At 38.7% G+C, this 22251-nt stretch overlaps 1 long non-coding RNA gene across 3 annotated transcripts in view; it reads right to left on the bottom strand.

The window, feature by feature from the left end:
* Window positions 1-971: 971 nt before the first annotated feature.
* LOC101929750 (uncharacterized) overlaps window positions 972-22251 on the bottom strand; it is a 60750-nt gene continuing 39470 nt past the window's right edge. The window contains exons 7-9 of one of the 3 annotated variants that reach the window (XR_001738477.2): window positions 18385-18490; window positions 3696-3802; window positions 972-2890 (exon numbers count right to left, since the gene is read on the bottom strand). This is a non-coding gene — a long non-coding RNA (uncharacterized LOC101929750). Of the gene's footprint in view, window positions 2891-3695; window positions 3803-4056; window positions 4121-18384; window positions 18491-22251 lie in introns of all 3 variants that reach the window. The other 2 variants (XR_001738478.2, XR_001738479.2) reach the window with 2 other exon arrangements.

Below are 22251 nucleotides of genomic sequence, written 5' to 3'. Positions count from 1 at the left end.
TATTTTAAAAAGAGAGCCCACTTTTATTTTTAAAATAAGCTGTGGCAGTTTCTTTTTCTTTTCTTCCTTTTCTTGGGCATTGGAAAGCTTAATAATCTTTTCAAGATTTTGGGTTTTTTTAATGTTATTATATATATTTAAGGTGTATGTCATGTTTTCATACACATACATAGTGAAATGATTACTACAGTCAATCTAATTAGAATATCCATCATCTCGCATAGTTACCTGTATATGTGTGTATGGTAAGAGGACCTACAACCTACTTTCTTAGCAAATTTCCAGTATACAACCCAGTAGTAACTATAGTCTTCATGCTGTACATTTGCTCTCTAGACTTATTGATCCTAATCAAAACTCTGCACTCAATTTCTTCCCATTTGCCCATCATAATCTCAGCCCCAGATCCCAGCAACCACTATTCTACTTTTTGCTTTTTTGTACTTGACGTTTTTAGATTCCACATATAAGTAAGATCATGCAGTATTTTTCTTTCTGGCTTATTTCACTTAACCTAATGTCCTCCACATTCAGGCATGTTATAAATAACAAAATCGTCTTCTTTTTTAAGGCTACATGAAATTCCACTGTGTGTGTGTGTGTGTGTGTGTGTGTGTGTGTGTAACATTTTCTTTATCCACTCATCCATTGATGGGCACTTACATTGATTTCATAGCTTGGTTATTGTTAATTATGCTTCAATGACTATAAGAGTGGAGATATTTCTTTTTTTCTTTTTTTTTTTTTTGATGGAGTCTCCCTCTGTCACCAGGTTGGACTGCAGTGGTGCGATCTCAGCCACTGCAACCTCCGCCTCCCAGGTTGAAGCGATTCTCCTGTCTCAGCCTCCCGAGTGGCTGGGATTACAGGCATGTGCCTCCCCGCCCAGCTAATTTTTGTATTTTTAGTAGAGGCAGGGTTTCACCATGTCGGCCAGGATGGTCTCCATCTCTTGACCTCGTGATCCACCTGCCTTGGCCTTCCAAAGTGCTGGGATTACAGGCGTGAGCCACTGCGCCCAGCCGGGAGTGGAGATAGTTCCATGAAGTGCTGATTTCATTTCCTTTAAAAATATATAGAGAGGAGGGATTGCTGAGTCATGTGGTGATTCTATTTTTAATATTTAGAGGAAACTTCATGCTGCTTTCCATAATAACCGCACCTGCAAATATTTTTTAAACTAAGGAATTTATTTGATAAATGGATCAAAACATTGAATATATAATTCACAAATAAGGGGGAAAATGCTTAGCCTCACTAACAAGCACAAATGTGTATGTGTGTAGAAATTTCAAGGAAAGAAATACAATTTTCCTTGTCCAAACAGTAATTGTTTTATGTCATTAACATTTTCTGGTTTGATAAAAATAACGTGAAGGCACAATAAGGACTCTCCATTAGTGTCAGAAACTCAATTCAAACCAATTTAAATAAGGAAAGAAAGAGAGTGGGAAGAGAGGAAGGAAGGGAGACAGGTAAAGAGGCAGGAAAGAAGACAAGAAGAATAGAGGAAAAGAAATTAATTTGTTGGCTTATCTAAGTGAAAAACATACGGGTAGAACTAGCTGGTTTTAACTCTCAGGTGAATCCCAGCAGTCCCACCACATAACCATTGTTCAACCTTTCCCTCTCCATTCATCTCTGCTTTTTTAAAGGGGAGATGAAGAGTGGAGAGGGAAGCACTGAACCCTTTTCACACACAAAGGTGACTATGCGAGATGGGGGATATTCTAATTAGCTTGATTACAGTGATCATTTCACTATGTATATATGTGTGGAAACATGACATACACTTAAATATATATAATAACAGTTTTTTAAAAAATCATAAATAGATTGAACTTTCTAGTGGTCCTCTTCACAGCTCAGAATTTTGAAGAAAATAGGAGAAACTTCCCTTTAAAAAAATCTCCAATGGCCCAGACTGGGTAACACGCTGACCCCAGATGAATTGCTGAGTTGTTGCTGTTGTTTCTCTTTTGGGACTCCAGAGAGTAAGTTCTCTAATAGGTTGCTCTAAGGGATGGAGATGATAGCATGCAGTGGCAACTCCATGTGAGTCACAAAGCAGGAGGGAGAACAGGTTCTTAATAGGAAGATATACCAGAAAAACAACCCAGAACAGATTTTCCCTTATAGTAGAAGGATGAATTGATACAAATTTTTGAAAAGCACTTTGAAAATGTGTATCGAGAACTTTAAAACGTGCCTATTCTTTAACCTAGCACAAGGCTACAATCTCCTCAAAGACAAGAATCATATCTATTCATGGTTCTGAATTATCAGCCCCAAGGACATTACCATAAAAGAAAGTACCAAATGATAAACAAACAAGCAAATTATTTCTCTTCTTGGACTCTATCTTAAGGAAATCAGTCAAAACTGCTACAAGGATTTAAACACAAAAATGTTGCTAGGACCCAAAATGACATATAATAGGAGACTTATTCGGCAAGCTGTAGAGTAATAACATTAATAGTCATTAAAAATAATGTCCACAAATAATTTGACTAACATGGGAAATGCTTACTACATATGTTAAGTAAAACATGTAGGCAAAAATAAATACTATGGATATTAATATAAACATACAATATGTTCACATACTGTAAAAAAACAAAAACATTTGTACTAGTCATTTTTGCATGTTATAGGTAATTCTTTTATATTTCTGTTTCTTCTGTATTTCTAATTTTCTAACGCAAATATATGCTATTTTTTAAACCAAAGCAAAAAAAATCTCATTAAAAAATAGTTGACAAAACAGCTGCTCTTCATACAGTATGATTTGAGGGTCACCATATGGAGGCATGGGTGCCCAGGTACACTAAAAGGTGAGCAGGTAGGGTGCCATCTTCAGAACAGCCTCCAGGGAAAAAGGGATCCAGGCCTATGGATCAAAGAGAAGAGAATGTTACTCAAGGCTACATGAGTGGGTTCTGGGGCAGGGAGTCAGAATTTTAGAGGAACTGAAGCTACTAGGAAACAAACAATAGAACAGATCAAATCTAAAAGTGAAGGAATAAGAACAAAAAAGTCAAGCCTGGTAGGTTCTATAATGGGGAAGTGATGACTTCTTAAAGTGGCCATACCAGGTTAAGGTGGGAGTGGCCCCAAAGGTAAACTTCACTGAAGATTCCATATTTCTGTAGCTTAAAATGATATACATGAGGCGTGTTGGGTGGTGTTTGTCTGGAGGAAGAAAGAGATTTATTCCCTTGGGACATGAAAGAAAAAAGACAAAGACATGTTTGCTGGCTCTTTATGTTTCTACCCTGCCCCGCCTTACACTGATTGGGGGCAGGGGCAGGGAGAATGAGAAATGTATTGAAAGATTAGATAAAGAGGGTAAAGCAATCTTTACCTGAGAGGCCATGTGAGACTTGGAGCACAGGTGACCAAAGAGTTTCCAAGACCTGAGTGATAGATTTCAGTCCAGAAGCCATGAAAGGGACACTCTCCCCACTCCCTCTATACCTCCACAGAAATCCCAGTATGGTTTTGGCTGAGAGAACACACGTGCTTTTGTACAACCCAGGTCTCTAACCAGAACCTCCTAATTCCCCTCTTCAACTAGTTAATTCCTACCCAAACTTCAGACAGCTCTGTCATCATATTCCAGACCTTCCTGACCAGGTTAAATCCATGGTGAAGTGTTGTGTGCTGTGTATTTTGCTTTCATAGAATTTGCTTACTTGCAATTGACATTTCTTTGGGATGCCTGGATAATTGTCTGACTCCTCTACAGATCACAAGTTGTATTATAGTCCTGGTGCCTAGCACAGTGCCTGGAGTACAAAACCTAGAAGCAAAAAAAATATTTAACGAACAGGTGATGGTAAAGAACTACTATGCTTGACCCACAGTGTAGGGAAGTAGTTCCTTCTTGCAAGATCCCAGGAAAAGACAAGGGGCAGATTGTCATCTGCAAGTTGCTGGCAGGCAGCATCTGATGCCACACTCCAAGGGAGGGAAGAGGTTTGAACATCTGAGGCATGCTAGACTCCACAGAATAATTATCAAGTCACAGGAAAGTGCATTCATATAGAAACTCACCCCGTCTGCATTCACAACACTCATGATCGAAGATCTCAGTTGTCAAAGCCTCCTGCTCCTGTTCCTGTAATACAAATGAATCTTGCCCATAGCGTGAAGTGGGAAATTCAGACTTACCATTGAGTGGATTCTGCTGTCTTCTTATCATTTTCACTTCTTGTCCCTTTTTCACCCAGTATCATCTATATTTTTTCTGTCCTTACACAAAATCTCCAGTTTTTTCTACTAATTTCAGTTTTAACCTATTTCTGAATAGTAGAAACTCATATGCTTAACTAAATGAATTCAATTCTTACAGGAGGTTCTCCAAACTTTCAGCTTCCAGTTATAGAAGGGAGTGACATAGAGATCATCTTTAGAAGGGCAAGATATGGGTTTTCATTTAGGGCACAGGAGAGCATGGGCATTCCTGAAGTCAGAAAGATGTGGATTTAGCCCAAGAATGGCTAAGCAGCCATTTTTGTAGTCATTTTTTCAAGGAGGATAGTTTCAAGACTTTCATTCCAGATTTGTCAAGATAGTAATTGACACCTAGGGCACCTCTTTCTGTCCAAACAAGGAATGGGATTTCTAAGGCACCTCATTCTGTCCAACTGAGGAATGGGATTTCTCGGGATTTTTGCAAGGTGATAGGAGTCTCAAATAACTAATACCAGAAATTTCATAAGATAGCCAGATCCAAGACAGCTTACCAATTGGATTTGCATCTGCTTATCCCACTGGAGCCAAGCTCCTCACATGTACACATTTGTGTGGGCTTCTAGAAGGCCTATTTCTGAAATCTTACCTTGGTTTTTGGCTCTTGGAATAAATCTCACAGAACTGACTCACAAAAGGGGAATAAGAAGAAGAAGAAGGAGAAAGAGAAAGAAAAGAGGAATAAAAGAGAAGGAAGGGAGGAAGAAAATCGCTAAGTAGCCTAAATTATTTTTTGCCTTGGTTAATCTCTAAGTTAATCACTAAGGACTGAAATGATTGTAATGATGATTATGATGATAATGATGATGAAGAAGAGAGGAGGAGGGGGAGGAGGCAGATCTAGTTCTAAGTTGCTTACCAGGAACTACAGACAAAGCCTTGGTCAAACACTGCGTAAGTGGAATTACTGTCATGACAAATCTAGAATGAATGTCTTGAAACTGTCCTGCTTGAATAAATGGCTACAAAAATTGCTGCTCCGTCATTCTGGGGCTAAATCTATAGCTTTCTGACTTCAGGAATGCTCATGCTATCCTGTGGCCTAAAGAAAAACCTATATCTTGCCCTGTCTAAAGATGGGACTTTTTTTTTTCTTCTTTTTTCTGAGACGTAGTCTTACTCAGTCACCCAGGCTGGAGTGCAGTGGCATGATCTTGGCTCAATGCAGCCTCCGCCTCCCGGGTTTAAGCAATTCTCCTGCCTCAGCCTCTGGAGTAGCTAGGATTACATGCACCACCACACCCGCACACCTGGCTAATTTTTTTTTTTTTTTTTTTTTTTGTATTTTTAGTGGAGACGCGGTTTCACTATGTTGGCCAGACTGGTCTCAAACTCCTGACCTCGTGATCCGCCCACCTTGGCCTCCCAAAGTGCTGGGATTCCAGGCGTGAGCCACCACATTTGGCCTAAAGATGACTTTTATACCACTTCCTTCTATAACTGGAAGCTCAAATTTTGGAGACCCTCCTGTAAGATTCAATGCATTGTGTCAAGCGTATGAATTTCTACCACCCAGAAACAGGTTAAAACTGGTATCAAACATGTTGATAACTGTGGGGCTTATTTCTGTTGTAAGTTAAGCTTCAACCTAGAACTAATGTACCTGTTGTTTGAATACATTTTAGTCCTTCCACAAAAAACAAACGATTCAACTTTGTTCAGCATTTTAACTAACTGAACTAGTATTTTCCTCTTGCATGATCTCTTGTGTTTAAAATCCCCATGGACAAATGACAGGCATCGAACAAAATACAGGAAAAGCCCACAGAGGCAATGGAATCCATGTGATAACTCAAGTCAGTCCGGCTCCAAACTCACTCCCTTGGAAGGAAATAGCTTTTCAGAATACAGAAATTGGCTATTTACCCTTCAAATTTATTTTGCTTTATTGACTTGAACATGGAAGCCGAAAATATGCAACCACCAAAAGTTTTAACTCTATAGATCTATGTTGTGCCAATGTTAGGTACTCTATCTAATGTGCCAGTATCAATGAAGAAAAATGGCAGAAAGAAAAAAAATGAAAACACATTTAAAAAAGAAAATATCTCTTTGCAAGCAATCTCTTTACTTAGCAGAAGCCACAACTTTATGACTTTTTCAGCAGAGACAGAAGTGTATTTTTCAATTCTCTCATTCCTTTGGGGCAATAAAGCCACACTATAAAGCAGTGGGTTGTCAATCAGTCATAAAAAGCTTAACAGATGATGACATAAATGACAAGAATATGATCTATAACTATGTCTTTAAACCATAGACTAATTCTTAATTGTCCAAACTCCTTATAACAACAACAAAAAAAGTCTTCTGAAAAACAAGGAAGAGTTAACATTAGAAAGGAGAAGGAATACTTTGTGTTGGTTTCCAACCTCCAATCTCCTCCAAGCTGAATATTGCATACAAATCTGTATTTGTGAGGCACCCTCATCCACCAGTTAATCAGAGCCCTGGAAATTCAAGGAAACCTGTGTTTATGGAAATCTGGCATTTCTGTAAAGTTTTGAATGAGGGCTAAATAGAGCAGTTCATCTCATTTTGAAACTAATGATTCCTGCCAAGTGGTTTTCCAATGCTGGGTCTTCTGGCTCAGTCAGCATTTAGGAATTCATTTATGAGTTGGGTTAGTAGGAGACTCTGGAATTCAAATTTATGTCTGCAACTCACTAGTTTGCTCCTGATAGGTCTCTGAAAAGAGATTGTAATCAATTTAACAAACCCAGACTTCAGGAAATTTTCATATCCCAAAAAAAATTTCTGGTTTGGAGCTTTGTCCCATATTGGAATCAGCCCTCCTCCCCCTTCACTCCACGCTAAGCACTGAGTCTTGCTGTCTATGGCCCTTTCACTCAGCTCATCCCATCATTCAAAGCAGCCTTGCCAGGTGCACTAGAATCTACCTCCCTTAATAGACCTGCTAGCAGATTATAAAATGGCAGAATATATGTGTGGTTTGTCACCTCAGACGGTTTCTATATTATCTGTCTGTTTCTTGATAGAAGTGGCAAAGGTTCTGATAATTATTTATCCAATTTGTTTTAAAGATTTATCTGCCCCGTAATGTTCCAGGAAATTGGAATATGGGGTGTGTGTGTGTGTGTGTGTGCGTGTACACGTGTGTGTGTGTACATTTTCCCCCAGTCTTATAAACCCACACTTTACTTTTTAGCAAGGCAAAGGGCAAGCATTGAGCAGCCTTTCAATGTAACCATAAATTTACTACTTTTTAAAAAATTTCCTTTGAAGAAGTCATCAAATAAATTAGCAAAGCTGGAAAGGTGCCTCTAGTTTGTGTTGGCTTTGGGTCTTAGGGAGTTACTTAATAAACAAAAGTCAGTGAATTCAAACAGTAACAAAGTAATTTCAATGATTAATCAAGTGTTAAAACTAGTTTAACCTCTCCTGTTTTACAAACTCTATATCACCCTGACTAAACTAATAGAGGAATAAGACACCCATCTGGAAATCTCATCTGAAATATTAGATTGGGAATCTAAAATTCAGCCAAATAGTGTGGCTTGTAGGGATATCCTGTTGGATAATAAATTGCATTAATCTTACTTAAATTTTCCATCTAAATCATGTCCTGAGGCCATATTACTCTGAGGAAACTGTGCCTTACTTTAAATGCATTGTGCTACTGAAAACGATATTAAAAGAAGGGGGGAAAGAATTTTTCTCCTTTTTTTGTTCTCCTGCCTGGTTTTTCCAACATTAAAAAAATCCATGTGAAACCTTCTGGCTCTTCTAGAAGAACCAATGTCTACTCAAATCAGCACTAGCTCTTTCCAGTCACTTACAGGAAGCAGTATCAGTCACAGAACATTTTCAGGAACTTTGCTCTAATTTATCTGTTTCTTCCCATCTGTGAACTCTGAGTCATGGTGGCTTATGGCAAACGTTTTTTCTTTTTAGTAGTGGCAGGCGGAGCATCTTTTTCTTAGCCACTTTTTGACTTTCACATGTACAGAACTGCAACCACTGTCTTTCCTGAAGATTCTACTGTGGCCTTTTTATTCCTTCCATTTTTTAAATAAAAAACATTAAAATCTGCTTAAATGTTTAAACTATTTAAAAATTTCCAAGGTGGGGAGAAATATCATAGAGGCTTTTGTAGAGCTTCAAGAAAGGACTCGGCTGGCTCTGAAGCCACACCCAGCTCGATGCCATTGTCTGCTACCTACTGTAAGCTTAATTATTAAGTGCACTAAAAGGTGATAGCATAATGTTGACTCAAACCCACAAACCCTCAGAAATGCTGAGTTTTCTCTGCTTATCCGGAGCATCTGCTTTCTTAGGCTTTACAAAGAAAGGGGAATCTTGGGACAGAGCCCCGCTATTTCTTAACACTCTTGAAAACGGCTGAACAGAGAAAATGACAGCCATCACAGAAGTGATGCTGCTCATCAGGACCCGAGTATTGTGTGGCCTTTCACAGCCACCTCTGCATTACTCCTCCCAGCATCCTCTAGGGCAGGCATCGCTTTCACCACAGGCAGGTGAGAAAGGAGTAATAAGTGAAACGCCCACCTGTGGTGGCGGGATTACCCGGAAAGGAAGGAGCCAGGACCAGAGCTGAGGCCATCAGTCCTCTGACAATTCAAACCACTGGTGAGTGGAAGGAAGTAGACTCCCATCCAGTCCTCTGTAGAAGAGATGGCACAGAGGCCCCTCAAACCCATCCTGTCAAACCCCAGGTGAGTTGGAAGCAGTGCCATTCGCTCAGCCATCAAAGCCGAGGGTTTTATGGTTAACCTAGCCTCCTTCCTCTCTCATCTAAACAAAAAATGCTTTCAGGACCCACCCCTCCTCTGCCTCAGGCAAATCCTCAGCACCTCGAACTTGAACAGTTACTCAACCGATAACAGCCACAGCTCTCACTCTACCTTTTCTCACACTATTACCAGATGGATTCTTCCAAAATTCCATCATGCTGATCCCCTTCTTGGACTTTTCACAGGCTCCCATTCCACACAGGATAAGCTCCCATGGTGAAAACACAGCCCCTGACTGTCTTCTCAGTCACATTTCCTGCCGTTCACTCACCTCAACTCAAACCCGATGAACCACCAGTTCAGACACACTAACAGTTTCAGCAAACATCATGTTGTTTCTGTTAAAGCAAACTAAATGTGGCCAGAGAAGGACTCTGTATTTCTATATTTGAGTCCTTGGGGACAAACTGCAACCAACTTAATAGGTAGACAAGATTGAGAACGTAACTTGGGAGTGTGTGCCTGTAACAGTGGTTGGGTCTTGGCCAATCCCAGCAGCCATGTCAACCACTCAAACACTGTAGAGTGTTCAAACTGTGTTCAAATAAGCCAAACGCTGAGCTGTAACCAATCCAGTTGTTTCTGTACCTCACTTCTGATTTCTGCATGTCACTTCCCTTTTTCTGTCTATAAATCTTCTTCCACCACGTGGCTGTGCTGGAGTCTCTCTGAATCTGCTGTGATTCTGGGGGTTGCCAGATTTGCGAATTGTTCATTGCTCAATTAAACTGCTTTAAATTTAATGCTGCTGAAGTTTTTATTTTAAGACCTCCTTTATGTCTCACCTGAACTCCCTATAGTCCCCTAGACCTGTCGCGCTCCTCAAGGCCATGTTGGGCCCTGAGCTCTGTGCTTCCATATTGCCCTGTGCGTGCCTCTAGCCCAGTGCTTATCACAGTGCATTGAAATGATCCATTCACAGTTGTCTCTGACTAGACCGAGGCCCTTCCCAGAAGGACCACTTCTTACTCACCCTCGTTAGCCAACATGTAACCCAGTGCCTTGCCTATGGCAGATGCTCAATCAATGTCTGCTGCACTGAGCATGGATTCTGCTTCGTTTTTACCATCTTACTTAAAACTGTTTGATGATTCAGAGAGCTTGTAATACTTTTTTCCCTGAGGGAATTTTAGCTGGGCTGCTTATCTCATGGTTTCATTTCCCTTCCATTTCCCACAACTCATTCCTCCTTCCTCCTTAACTTCCTCTATGACCCTCCCCAGGCCAAGGAGAACACTCTGTGTACTCTTTTCTGTTGACCATAACTTCTAGTCCTTTCATTCACTAGCTCAGGACTATCTCCCTCAAGGATTTCCATGCTAACCCTAATCCCACATGGCCCAATCATTCGGGCCATCCTTGAGCCCAACACTATTTGGTTACAAGCTTGTTTCTGGGTTCCTCCTATTTGTGGAGTTGAGCGTCTCTGGTAGCTTGTTTGGTTATCTTAGATTGTGTGCTCTGTGAGGGCAGCTCAAATCTCTCAAGAAGCACATCCCCGAGGCATAGGCTGACCTTGCAAGAGACTAGGGCCAACTCCAGAAAACATTCCGCTGGTTTTAGTCACTGAAAACTCCCAGGCCCACTGTGGTAGAGCTGTGCTCAAAGTGAATGGTTTAAAGTAGAGGTATGACAGACCACCAACATAGAAAAAGCCATCTGCTCAGCTATCACACCGCCCTGCCAGTAGAGGATTACTCAGAGCCTACTGTCTATTCCTCTGTTTCAACGAGCTACCCTCATAACATTCTTTGAGGTTACATGCCCCCACTGAAATGAATAATGGCATAGTTTATGGTAAATGGTGAACTGAAAAAAGAGCGGTGTCATTATTGCTGTAAGTACCCACAAAAGATGTTTATTATTGCACACAGACACAGCCACAAACACACAACTCATTGCTAATAAACTCATTTATTTCCACATAAAGTTGCACAATGTTGTGCAACCCAGCAAAAGGCTGAGAAATGTCAGCAATTCAGACCAAGACTATTTGTCAACAAAACCAGTCCATTTCACCAGCTTCAGCAAACCATTTCTTGCGAGAAGCTTTTTTTTTTTCATAGAAGAAAATCATCACACATAACCTTAAATAGAAAGGACAAATGCTCACAATCCCACAGACAAAGCAAACAACAAGTTGAGGTAATATTGAAGGGACACTTGGAGGTTGTGGGGTGGGGAAGAGGACATCACTTTGTTGCCTGAGTTGCCTAGATCAACATTTTTTCTGTTACTAAAGAAAAAAAAATCGAAGAAAAATTACAGGAAAAAAAGTCTTCTCACTTATTACCAAACAGTTATTTAAAGAAATCTTAATTTTTTTTAATGTTCTACACACATTCATTGTGGCTTTACTACGCACCAGAGACTATATTAGGTACTCAGAACATAAAAATAGATAAAGCCAAGTTCACAGACTAATAGAAGAAAGAAACAGAGGCACAGATCACCATAATAATACAAGATGACTGATTATGATAGAGATATGTCATTGGGAATTATAAGCTCAGAGAAGAGGCATTTTTAGTTTGCCTCTGGCAAACTTTTTTACTCAAGTCAGCCTGTCTGCCTAATTTTTTATTCTTACAATAGTCTTTACAGATCTTGAAAATAAATACCTAAGACAATTTAAGGGGAAAATACATATATGAGAAGCAAAATAATTATTGCTATAACTCAAAGAGAAACAAAGTTATTCAGAGGAAAGAGGCCATGAAATAAAGCCAGAGAAACTGGGGAAAGGAGAACACCCCAGGGGCTGTCATTTCACTGGTGGTAATGAGAATTCAAGAGTCAATACAGTGAGAGTCACGTCAACTAGACAAGGTCTGGAATAAGAAATAGAAGCAGCTTCTCAATTTGATTCTCTCCCCCACGCTCAAGTGAATTTTTTCTTCTCAATGTATTCATGTCCTTTACTATAATCTAGTGGTCCTGAGGACACTTATGGGCAAAGTCTTGCATTCCCTACCCTTCCAGGCTTAGTTGGGGAGACAAGGCCAGATGATACAAGAATCAAGGTGACATGGACGTGGGCATGAGGGCCTTGGGAGTTAAGAACCAGGAAGGGCCGGGGACGGTGGCTCACGCCTGTAATCCCAGCATTTTGGGCGGCCAAGGCAGGTAGATCATGAGGTCAGAAGATTGAGACCATCCTGGCTAACATGGTGAAACCCTGTCTCTACTAAAAATACAAAAAACTACCCGGGCGCAGTGGTGGGTGCCTGTAGTCCCAGCTACTCAGGAGGCTGAGGCAGGAGAATCGCCTGAATCCAGGAGGTGGAGGTTGCACAGTGAGCCAAGATTATGCCATTGCACTCCAGCCTGGGTGACAAGAGCAAGACTCCATCTCAAAAAAAAAAAAAAAACAAAAAAACAGGAAAGATCACAGCAAGTTAAGACATCTGTGAGAAGGCAGTGAATATTCCAAAGGCAGGAACAAGATGAACAAAAAGATGTGGAGATCAAAATTAACAAAGTTTAGAAGACTTTTAAAAGTTTGAATTAGGCCAGGCGTGGTGGCTCATGCCTGTAATCCCAGCACTTTGGGCGGTCAAGGCAGGTGGATCACAAGGTCAGGAGATTGAGACCATCCTGGCTAATATGGTGAAACCCTGTCTCTACTAAAAATACAAAAAATTTACCTGGGCGTGGTGGTGGGCACCTGTAGTCCCAGCTACTCGGGAGGCTGAGGCAGGAGAATTGCTTGAATCTGGGAAGTGGAAGTTGCAGTGAGCCAAAATCGTGCCACTGCACTCCAGCCTGGTGACAGAGTGAAACTCTGTTTGAAAAAAAAAAAAAAATTTTTAAGTTCTTTGTAGATTCTGGATATTAGCCCTTTGTGAGATGGGTAGATTGTAAAAATTTTCTCCCATTCTGTAGGATGCCTGTTCACTCTGATAGTAGTTTCTTTTGCTGTGCAGAAGCTCTTTAGTTTAATTAGATCACATTTGTCAATTTTGGCTTCTGTTGCCATTGCTTTTGGTGTTTTAGTCATAAAGTCCCTGCCTGTGCCTATGTCCTGAATGGTATTGCCTAGGTTTTCTTCTAGAGTTTTTATGGTTTTAGGTCTAACATGTAAGTCTTTAATCCACCTTGAATTAATTTTTGTATAAGGTGTAAGGAAGGGATCCAGTTTCAGCTTTCTACATATGGCTAGCCAGTTTTCCCAGCACCATTTATTAAATAGGGAATCCTTTCCCCATTGCTTGTTTCTGTCAGGTTTGTCAAAGATCAGATGGTTGTAGATGTGTGGTAGTATTTCTGAGGGCTCCGTTCTGTTCCATTGATCTATATCTCTGTTTTGGTACCAGTACCATGCTGTTTTGGTTACTGCAGCCTTGTAGTATAGTTTGAAGTCAGGTAGCGTGATGCCTCCAGCTTTGTTCTTTTGGCTTAGGATTGTCTTGGCAATGCACGCTCTTTTTTGGTTCCATATGAACTTTAAAGTAGTTTTTTTCCAATTCTGTGAAGAAAGTCATTGGTAGCTTGATGGGGATGGCATCGAATCTATAAATTACCTTGGGCAGTATGGCCATTTTCACAATATTGATTCTTCCTATCCATGAGCATGGAATGTTCTTCCATTTGTTTGTATCTTCTTTTATTTTGTTGAGCAGCGGTTTGTAGTTCTCTTTGAAGAGGTCCTTCACATCCCTTGTAAGTTGGATTCCTAGGTATTTTATTCTCAAAAAAAAAAAAAATTTCAATTAAGTCCACTAAAAGCAGAGCTCCTGTTAGGGGTGCATGGAAATTTGAAGCTGCTAAATCAAGTAGGGGCAGATTGAGAAGATTCCAGAAAGTCAGACAAAGAGATTTTGGCAGGAAAATCTTCTGTTTCCAATTTTGATAATAGCCAATCTGTATAACTGATCAGACAGTTTGCAGAGATGATCAAATCTGGGCATTCGTATTTTTGAAACCTACATTATAATCAGATCTGGTATTTTCCATCATAAGCCTGAGTAAAAACATTTATTCCTATGAAATATTTTCCTATAAGTTAAACAGATATCCAATACCCCAAAAGAGACTCTTCAAGGTGCAAATATGATTTTTTTGTTTCCACTTCTTTTAGATATCTAGAGAACTGAGTTTGATGACCTCGTGAGCCAGGTATTTTCAGGCTATTCAGTCATGGCTATAACTTTTCCTGGGGGGCCAGGTCATTAAAACTTCGCACTGCATTGGTATTATATTCAGGAGGGTCCAGTGTCTGAGCAGTGGGGAGAGAACTTAAAAAGCTAGACTCTCTTCTGCTCCCAGCTATGCCACTGACTGCCACATGGCATGGAGAGGTCACCATCTCTCTGAATCTGGCTGCTCATTTGCAAAACAAAGGGTTTAACTAGTGATAGTTCAGTCTCGCTCAGATCTAAAATTCCATCATAAACAATGCCATTGGAGATTGAACTAAGTTTTCCTGGCCCTAGATTACATTGCAAAAGTCACATTTTAATAAATCTTGCTATCAACATGTTTACTTGTCATGTGTCTAGTGCACATAAAATGGGAGTGCAGCCTGTACCCTCAACAAATTGGGTCTTTTAAGCTTCTCAGATGTTTAGATTCCAAATAAACAGTAGTAGGCAGTTTGAAAATGACAGCAGAAAGTCATTGCTCCAGGGGAAGAAGCTGAGCTTCCTAAACCACAGACTGGGGAGTGTGAGCTCTCTTCAAATGCCTTGGGCAAGGCAGCCCCAACCCAGGCAGTGCAGCGTGGTCTGCCATAGCTCTGTGTGTACCCGGGGGTGATCAGGGCTGGATGTAATCTAAAGGAGGTAGATAAGCTCAAGATACATGATCTGTTTCCCTGCCAAGAGCAATTTGCTTGACAAGCCTCCTGCTTATAAAATACTAAGGCATTCTTTTTGGTATTAAAAAGTTTTGGTCTTTATAAATGAACTATATCTGCAATGGGAAAGGAAAAAATTGAGCAATTTGATTTTTTAAAGAACTAGATGGATAGTGAGCACAGTTTATAAGTTTCCCAGATGAAGGAAATGAAAATCAGTTGTAGTTTTCAGATACTGGTGTGTCCACATATGGGAAATTTTTATCTTTACAGGAATCAAAATAATCTAACTTTTAAAAATACATGTTTTAATGTTTTAAAAAGCATTGATAATCCACTTTTCTTTGATCCTTACAACAAGTTTATAAGGTAAGCAGGGAAGGAATTATTCTTATTTTACAGATGAGGGAATACATCCACAAACCTTAAGATACTTCCCCAAGACTTTGCAGCTAATAAATATGTCTATATAAGTGAACTTGACCCAAGTTCAGTTTGCTGATGCCTTTCTACAATACTCTGTGCTCCTGCAACACCTCAACTTTTCATTTGCATTTTGTATTGATTTGTAAGGTAAACCACTTTGCTGTCATTTATTTTAAAGTTATTTACTGTGATGATTCTTCCTAAATTAATATATAAGCTTATAACCAAAATTAAAAAGTGATAAAATCCCAATAGAAAGCTTTTGCTAATTTATTTTTTTAAGTGATTTTAAAGTCACCTGGAAAAAGGTAGGCCACCTAATTTTTAAATGGGGGTAATAATGGGGCAAATAGCAATAGAAGCTATTAAAATAAGTCTATAACAGTTAAATAAGGATGGTACTGACACAAGGCTACACGAAAAGATGGAACAAAATCAAAGTTTCAGTAACAGTCCTTGGTATAGATGAATATTAAATATTTATAAATTGGAGCATCACAAATTAATGGAAGATAGAAGCATTTTTCTACAATTTGTCTTAGGATAATATTTTTAGATATTAATGAAAATAATTTATAGCTTTCAATTATACTTATACACTTAAAGATCAGATAGAATAAAGAGTTAAAATATTTTAAAAAATTAAAGTCAAAAACTCAAAAGAAAATATAGGTCAATATTTATCTGATCTGTCTGAATGTAGAAGAACTTACTAAGCTCAAATTCAGTGGAAGAAATTACAAAGGAAAAATATAAATAAAGTAGGTTTTTTTTTGTTTTTTTTTTTTGTTTTTTTTTTTTGAGACAGAGTCTCACTCTGTCTCCCAGGCTGGAGGGCAGTGGCGCGATCTCAGCTCGCTGCAATTTCCGCCTCCCAGGTTCACACTATTCTCCTGCCTCAGCCTCCAGAGTAGCTAGGACTACAGGTGCCCACCACCACGCCCAGCTAATTTTTTGTATTTTTAGTAGAGACGGGGTTTCACCGTGTTAGCCAGGATGGTCTCGATCTCCTGACCTCGTGATCCACCTGCCTTAGCCTCCCAAAGTGCTGGGATTACAGGCGTGAGCCACCGCTCCCGGCCAAGATGATTTTTAATATTTTAATTTCCGTATATCACAAGACATGCCAACCAATATAAACATAGTAAGATGGGAAAAATAATTGTATCACATACGGGAGACAAAGTTATATACTCTCACTATATACAGAATTCAATCAAACCAATTTTAAAACTCTAAGAATTAAGTAGAAAACTAGGCAAAGGATGTAGCAGATAATTCAGAGATGCAAATGACTAATAAGTGTACAAAATGTTTAACCTCGCTAGTACTCTAAAGGCAAATTAGTATTATACAGCACCTTTTGCCTATCAAATGAGTAGAGTCTAAAAAATTATCATCCTTGAGGGTTGAAAAGTTGACATGAAGTTACACCCTCACTGCTAAAGGGCGAGACTGGAGCACCTCACTACAAAACAATTCGACTATGTTTCTAAAGTCCTTCAACCGTTCACACCTCTGACGTCAGGAATTTCTCCTAAGGAAATAATCAAACATATAACCAAAGATTTGTAGACAAAGATTATCTCCCGCAGTATTATGTATAATAAAATGAAAATATGAAAAAGCACTTAGAGGTCTAAAATTGTAGGATGTTTAGAAAAATGATGGCTTGAAAAGAAGATGAATGTTATGTACCTAATTGAAGGAGAAACAAAGAATTTGTATTACATGAAGAAATACTTTTGACATGATGTTCACTGAAAAAAATTCAAGCAGCAAAATCCATAACAATATGAGTTTAACAATTTGTTTAAATGCCTAAAAGAATACAAAAAGGAACAAGCCAAAAATGTAGAACTGGCTGGGCGCGGTGGCTCACCCCTGTAATCCCAGCACTTTGGGAGGCCGAGGCAGACGGATCACGAGGTCAGGAGCTGGAGACCATCCTGGCTAACAGGGTGAAACCCTGTCTCTACTAAGAATACAAAAACTTGGCCGGGCGTGGTGGCGGGCCCCTGCAGTCCCAACTACTCGGGAGGCTGAGGCAGGAGAATGGCGTGAACCCGGGGTGCGCAGCTTGCAGTGAGCCGAGATTGCGCCACTGCACTACAGCCTGGGCGACAGAGCGAGACTCCGTCTCAAAAAAAAAAAAAGCAGAACTACTTCTGCATGGTGAGATTATAATTGATTCTTTTATTCTGCTTCTTTAAATTTTTCCATTCTAAACATATTTTCTAAAATAAACAATTCACATCATGGGTATTGCGCTCTGTGCTTCATTCTGTTATTGTGCTGAAGACCTCTGATTCCTATGCAAATTTTCTGCTCTTTTAAAAATGTTTTTCATACTGAAAAATGAATTATAAAAACCAGTGGGACAGAGGGCTTCCTGAAGGGGATGGTGAATAGTGCTCATACAGCAAAGAGATCAATACTTAAAAATGGAAACACCCCATTAAACTTGGCATGTTGGAAGTCATTGGTGACTTGGATAAGTGTCAATGAGATAGACACAGGACAGATGCCAATGGATCAAAAGTGATTTGAGATGAAAGAGATGACAGCAAATATAGATTACTATTCCTAGAACTGTGACTGTAAAAAAAAAAAACAAAAAACAAAAAACGACAACAAAAAAACAAACAAACAAAAAAAAAACAAGGGTTTTTTGTTAATGGCATCTTGATTGCACTGGTTACCCAGCCTCAGCATCTAGTCATCTTTGATACTTTATCTCCCTTGCCTCCTATGTTGGAATTACCAATTCAATGAAATTTGTAGAAATCAATGCCTCTAAAATGAATAAATGTTTTTTTGATTTTCATGGCTACATCTTCATTCAGACCATCATTGTTTCACACCTAGACACTTCGAGAACTTCCTAACTTTTGGCCTAGCACTTCACGCCTGCAACAATCTGCAAACTAACTCCCTTGTCAGGTTTACCTACCTTGACGACCCCATTTGAGTGCTTTTCTCCAGCAAAACTCTCCACCAAAATCATCCTGCATTTTTTCACATCCTTAAATTAGTGGGAACGATGATTATTATTGTTATTGTCCTTGACATAAATTGGAGAGGGTCAATGATCCTGAGTTGTTAAAATAAGGCCAAAGAGTTTAAGTGACTTACCCATGATCTCACTTGGGCTGCAAAGTCAGGACCAAAGCTCTGAGCTCTTTTTGGCTGCTCCATCTGAGGTGCACACAGCTGCCCCATGTGTTCCAAGAGGCATGAGCTGAAGAGGAAGGAAGTTGGTCCCAACGAACTTTACTGGCTACTGGGACCATGGCATAGTTGACTTATTTTATAGGTGCTGTCTGATTGTGATGCTAAAACCTTAACAAGGCTTGAACCTCTTCTTTTATTTTTATTTTGCTGTCTAGAAGTATCATAGAATCACTTGATATAATCACTTTGAATTTTCTTGTTATTTCACAAGCAACATCCAATAGTTTAGTATCAGATTATTAGATAATGATTAATAATTCCTGGTTTATAATTACTTATATTAAACTATGGCCTGCTGTACAATTATGACTGTCAAAACCTCATCACACAGCAGGGGTCGAAACTAGTAAGATATTGCCCTGGGATTAGCCATTAAATCATCTGGAAATTGAGTAACCATCATCATATGGCAGTGATTTACTTATTTTTCACAAAAAAAAAGTTTATGTTACTCTAGCATTCTCTGAGATAACATTTTAGGACTCTTAAGAATCTAGAAAAGGTGATAAATATCTGCAGTTCTTTTCTTGTTCCCTATGGGGAGAAACTTTATACAATCACAGATATATATGTAGAGAATATCATGTAAGCCGTTGGTTTGGATCCATAAACATTTTAGGTTTGCTTTCCTGGATACCTAAGTTTGAAGGGAGCGTGGTTTCATCCACTTATTTAGACAAAAACATGAAGAAATTAGACTCTGATAATTTCTGAAATTTGCCTCAGAGAACTCACATTTTTGCTTTACAGACACATGCCTTGGAAGTTTTAGTAAGTGAGGTCATCTTCCTCTAATGTTTGCTATGCTTAATGACAATACAAATATGTTGAATTTATTAATTCACTTGTTCATATAACAAATATTTTAAAAATGTCTGCTATGCTGTGTTGTACTTGTAAGGTGACTCTGGATTTTAAAAAGGCCTGATTTGTAACATTTGGTGACTCCTGGGTGTATACACTCCCCTGTGGCTGATTTCAAGCTCCCAGTGCAATGTCGCTGAACACAGACTAGGAAGGAGATGAGCAGAATTGGCTCTGCCAAGCTCGTATGAGGCAGCGCCAGCCCACCCCTGATGCTATGTGTTTTATATATATATATGTTGTGTGTGTGTGTATGTATATATACATGGCATATATATGTGTGTTATACATATGCTATATATGTGTCTGATATATATGTGATATATATGTGTTACATATATGTGTTTGATATATGTAATATATATTTGTGATATCTGTACCATATGAAAATAGAAAAATTTATCTAAATCATCAAAAAAAGTTAAGATACTTTGATTCATTTCTTATTCAGGTAATAAACTGGAGTTCAAATTGAAGAGAGTAGTGAAAAAATTCTGGATGCTTTATTAGTTCTATACACAGGTTTTATTTCTGTGATTGACACAGATAACTCTGTGGCTGAAACTGCATCAGTAGAAATGTAATTAGTTCATAATTTCAATCATTTAATTGAATACTTGTAAATAATATTGAAATAAAATTTACATTTTCATTCCTTGGATATAAACCATTGACCAGTGTACACCTATGATTTTAGTTCATTTAGGATTGTATGGTGGTGAAATTAGTGTCATTTCATTAATATAAGCACATTCTTTATGTCAACTGGTCAGAGTAGTCTACTAAATTTTAAGGTTTGAGGTTTAATATTCTATGTTCTGTTGCATGGCTAGAGTACATCTACAGGCATGCCAGTAATCTTGTAGTGTCACAAGAGAATTTGATAATAGGGAATTGAATGATTAGTATAATCTATCCTCACTATTAAAAAAAAGTCAAAGGTAAGCCCTATGGATGACAATTTAAACACGTGCAGTGTGTCCAACATAATGCTAAGTTTATCATAAACTAATTTCTATAATGGTTATACAGGGTAAATATTATTATCTTAATTTATGTATGGAAATAGCTAAAGCTTAGGACAGTTTAGTAATCTGTTCCAGGTCACATAACCAACAGGGGTTGAAGCTCTGGTTCTTCCCTAGTACTGTCTGACTCTAAAGCCTAGGTTATCTTCAGAAGACAGAATAACCTACAATTTATACACAAGACAGTATAACCTACAATTTATAGAATCGTTATAAAGAATCAATAAGACCAGGATTGGAAAAGCTCTTGGAAAATTACAAATTGCTCCGTAATTGTTTTCAACTATAAAGTAATCCTTGTTAATTACTCAGAAAAAATATTTGCTATGTGACTAATATAAACATCCAGTGGGTTGCTCCATTCTAGTCAATCAGCTCCAGTCACCAGTTAATTTCTTCTCTGAATAAAAAATAAGTAGCACAATCTTAGCTTTTTCTGATTTCAAACACAATCAAATAATAAACCTTAATGCCAATCCCAATGCCCAGTAGGGTCTGTTACATGTTTTATAAGTATTTATGAGGTATTTACTGAATCCCAAAGAGTGATTACTGAATTGCTTTTCCATTAGAAGACTCAGCTCTAGTCAAATGGACTCACAAGCAGGATTAATAATTTGAGTTCATGTGGCTCATGCTCCCCAGTAGATGCATACATTCTAATGGGTTGTTTTTTAAAAACTGTGACTTTCTAAAAATTCTAAAGGTAGTACTACAACTATTTTATTTAAGAAAAGTATTGCAACTTTCCCTGGAAGTTTTATATTAAATGTTTTATTCTGATAAATCTTGAAGATGGTAGAACAAAAGCTACCATTAATTAAGCACCTTCTGAGTACCATTCACTGTATTACGAATTTAACTTTTTTTTTTTAATGAGTTAGAGTCTCGCTCTCTTGCCCAGTCTCAGCTCACTGCAACCTCCACCTCCTAGGTTCAAGCAATTCTCCCACTTCAGCCTCCCAAGTAACAAGGACTACAGGCACACACCACTATGACCCAGCTAAAATTTTTTTGTATTTTTAGTAGAGATGGGAGTCTCACCATGTTGGCCAGGCTGGTCTCAAACTCCTGACTCCTGGTGATCCAGCTGTCTCAGCCTCCCAAAGTACTAGGATTACAGGCATGAGCCACCGTGCCCAGTCTTTAACATATGTTTTGACCTATCCTAACAACCCTGAAAGATCAGCATAATTAAATGATAAGTACTGACAGGCGCTGGTATTGAAGCACTCCAGTATCACAAGAATAGGGGCCACAGGTGTACTAAACTTGTGTCTAATCAGCTAAAATGAAAGAAAAAGCTGAAAAGTACTGTGACCCACAGAATAAATTTCAATAAGGCACCGTTCTATATCGCACTGCCATCCCTCAGTTCTCAGTTGATTGCAGAGGTTTTCTCCAGCAGCATTCCTCAACCTCTGCCCTGTGTGCTGATTTCGGGTGCATTTTATCTGACTTTTTTTCACATTTACCAGAAAAAAAAATAAAGAACAACAAAAACTTTCCAAGAGGCTTACATTTATTTGAAAAATTGGGAAATTTGCAGATACATTTTGTCCTGAGGTTATAATGCCTACCTTAAAATAATTGGAAACCCTTATATCCAATCCTGAAGATTGAAGTCCGTTTATTTGTTAGAGGAAGGATATTTCGCAAATAGTTCTTAAAATTGACTCCCTGTTTGGCCTTCCCACTGCTAAGTGGCTCCTGGGGTTGTTTATTTATTAGAGTGACCAAACATAAGTATATCTCTTCTGACTAGTATGTCTCTCTTTACTTTTTTTTTTAAATATAGGAGTACAAATGCAATTGTGTTACAGGATATATCGCATAGTGGTGCAATCTGGGCTTTTAGTGTATCCATCACCCGAGT

This window comes from Homo sapiens, chromosome 1, assembly GCF_000001405.40.
Source record: "Homo sapiens chromosome 1, GRCh38.p14 Primary Assembly".
Classification (NCBI taxonomy): domain Eukaryota; kingdom Metazoa; phylum Chordata; class Mammalia; order Primates; family Hominidae; genus Homo; species Homo sapiens.
Note: the sequence above shows the minus strand (reverse complement) of the source record. Positions and strands in the feature narration are given on the sequence as shown.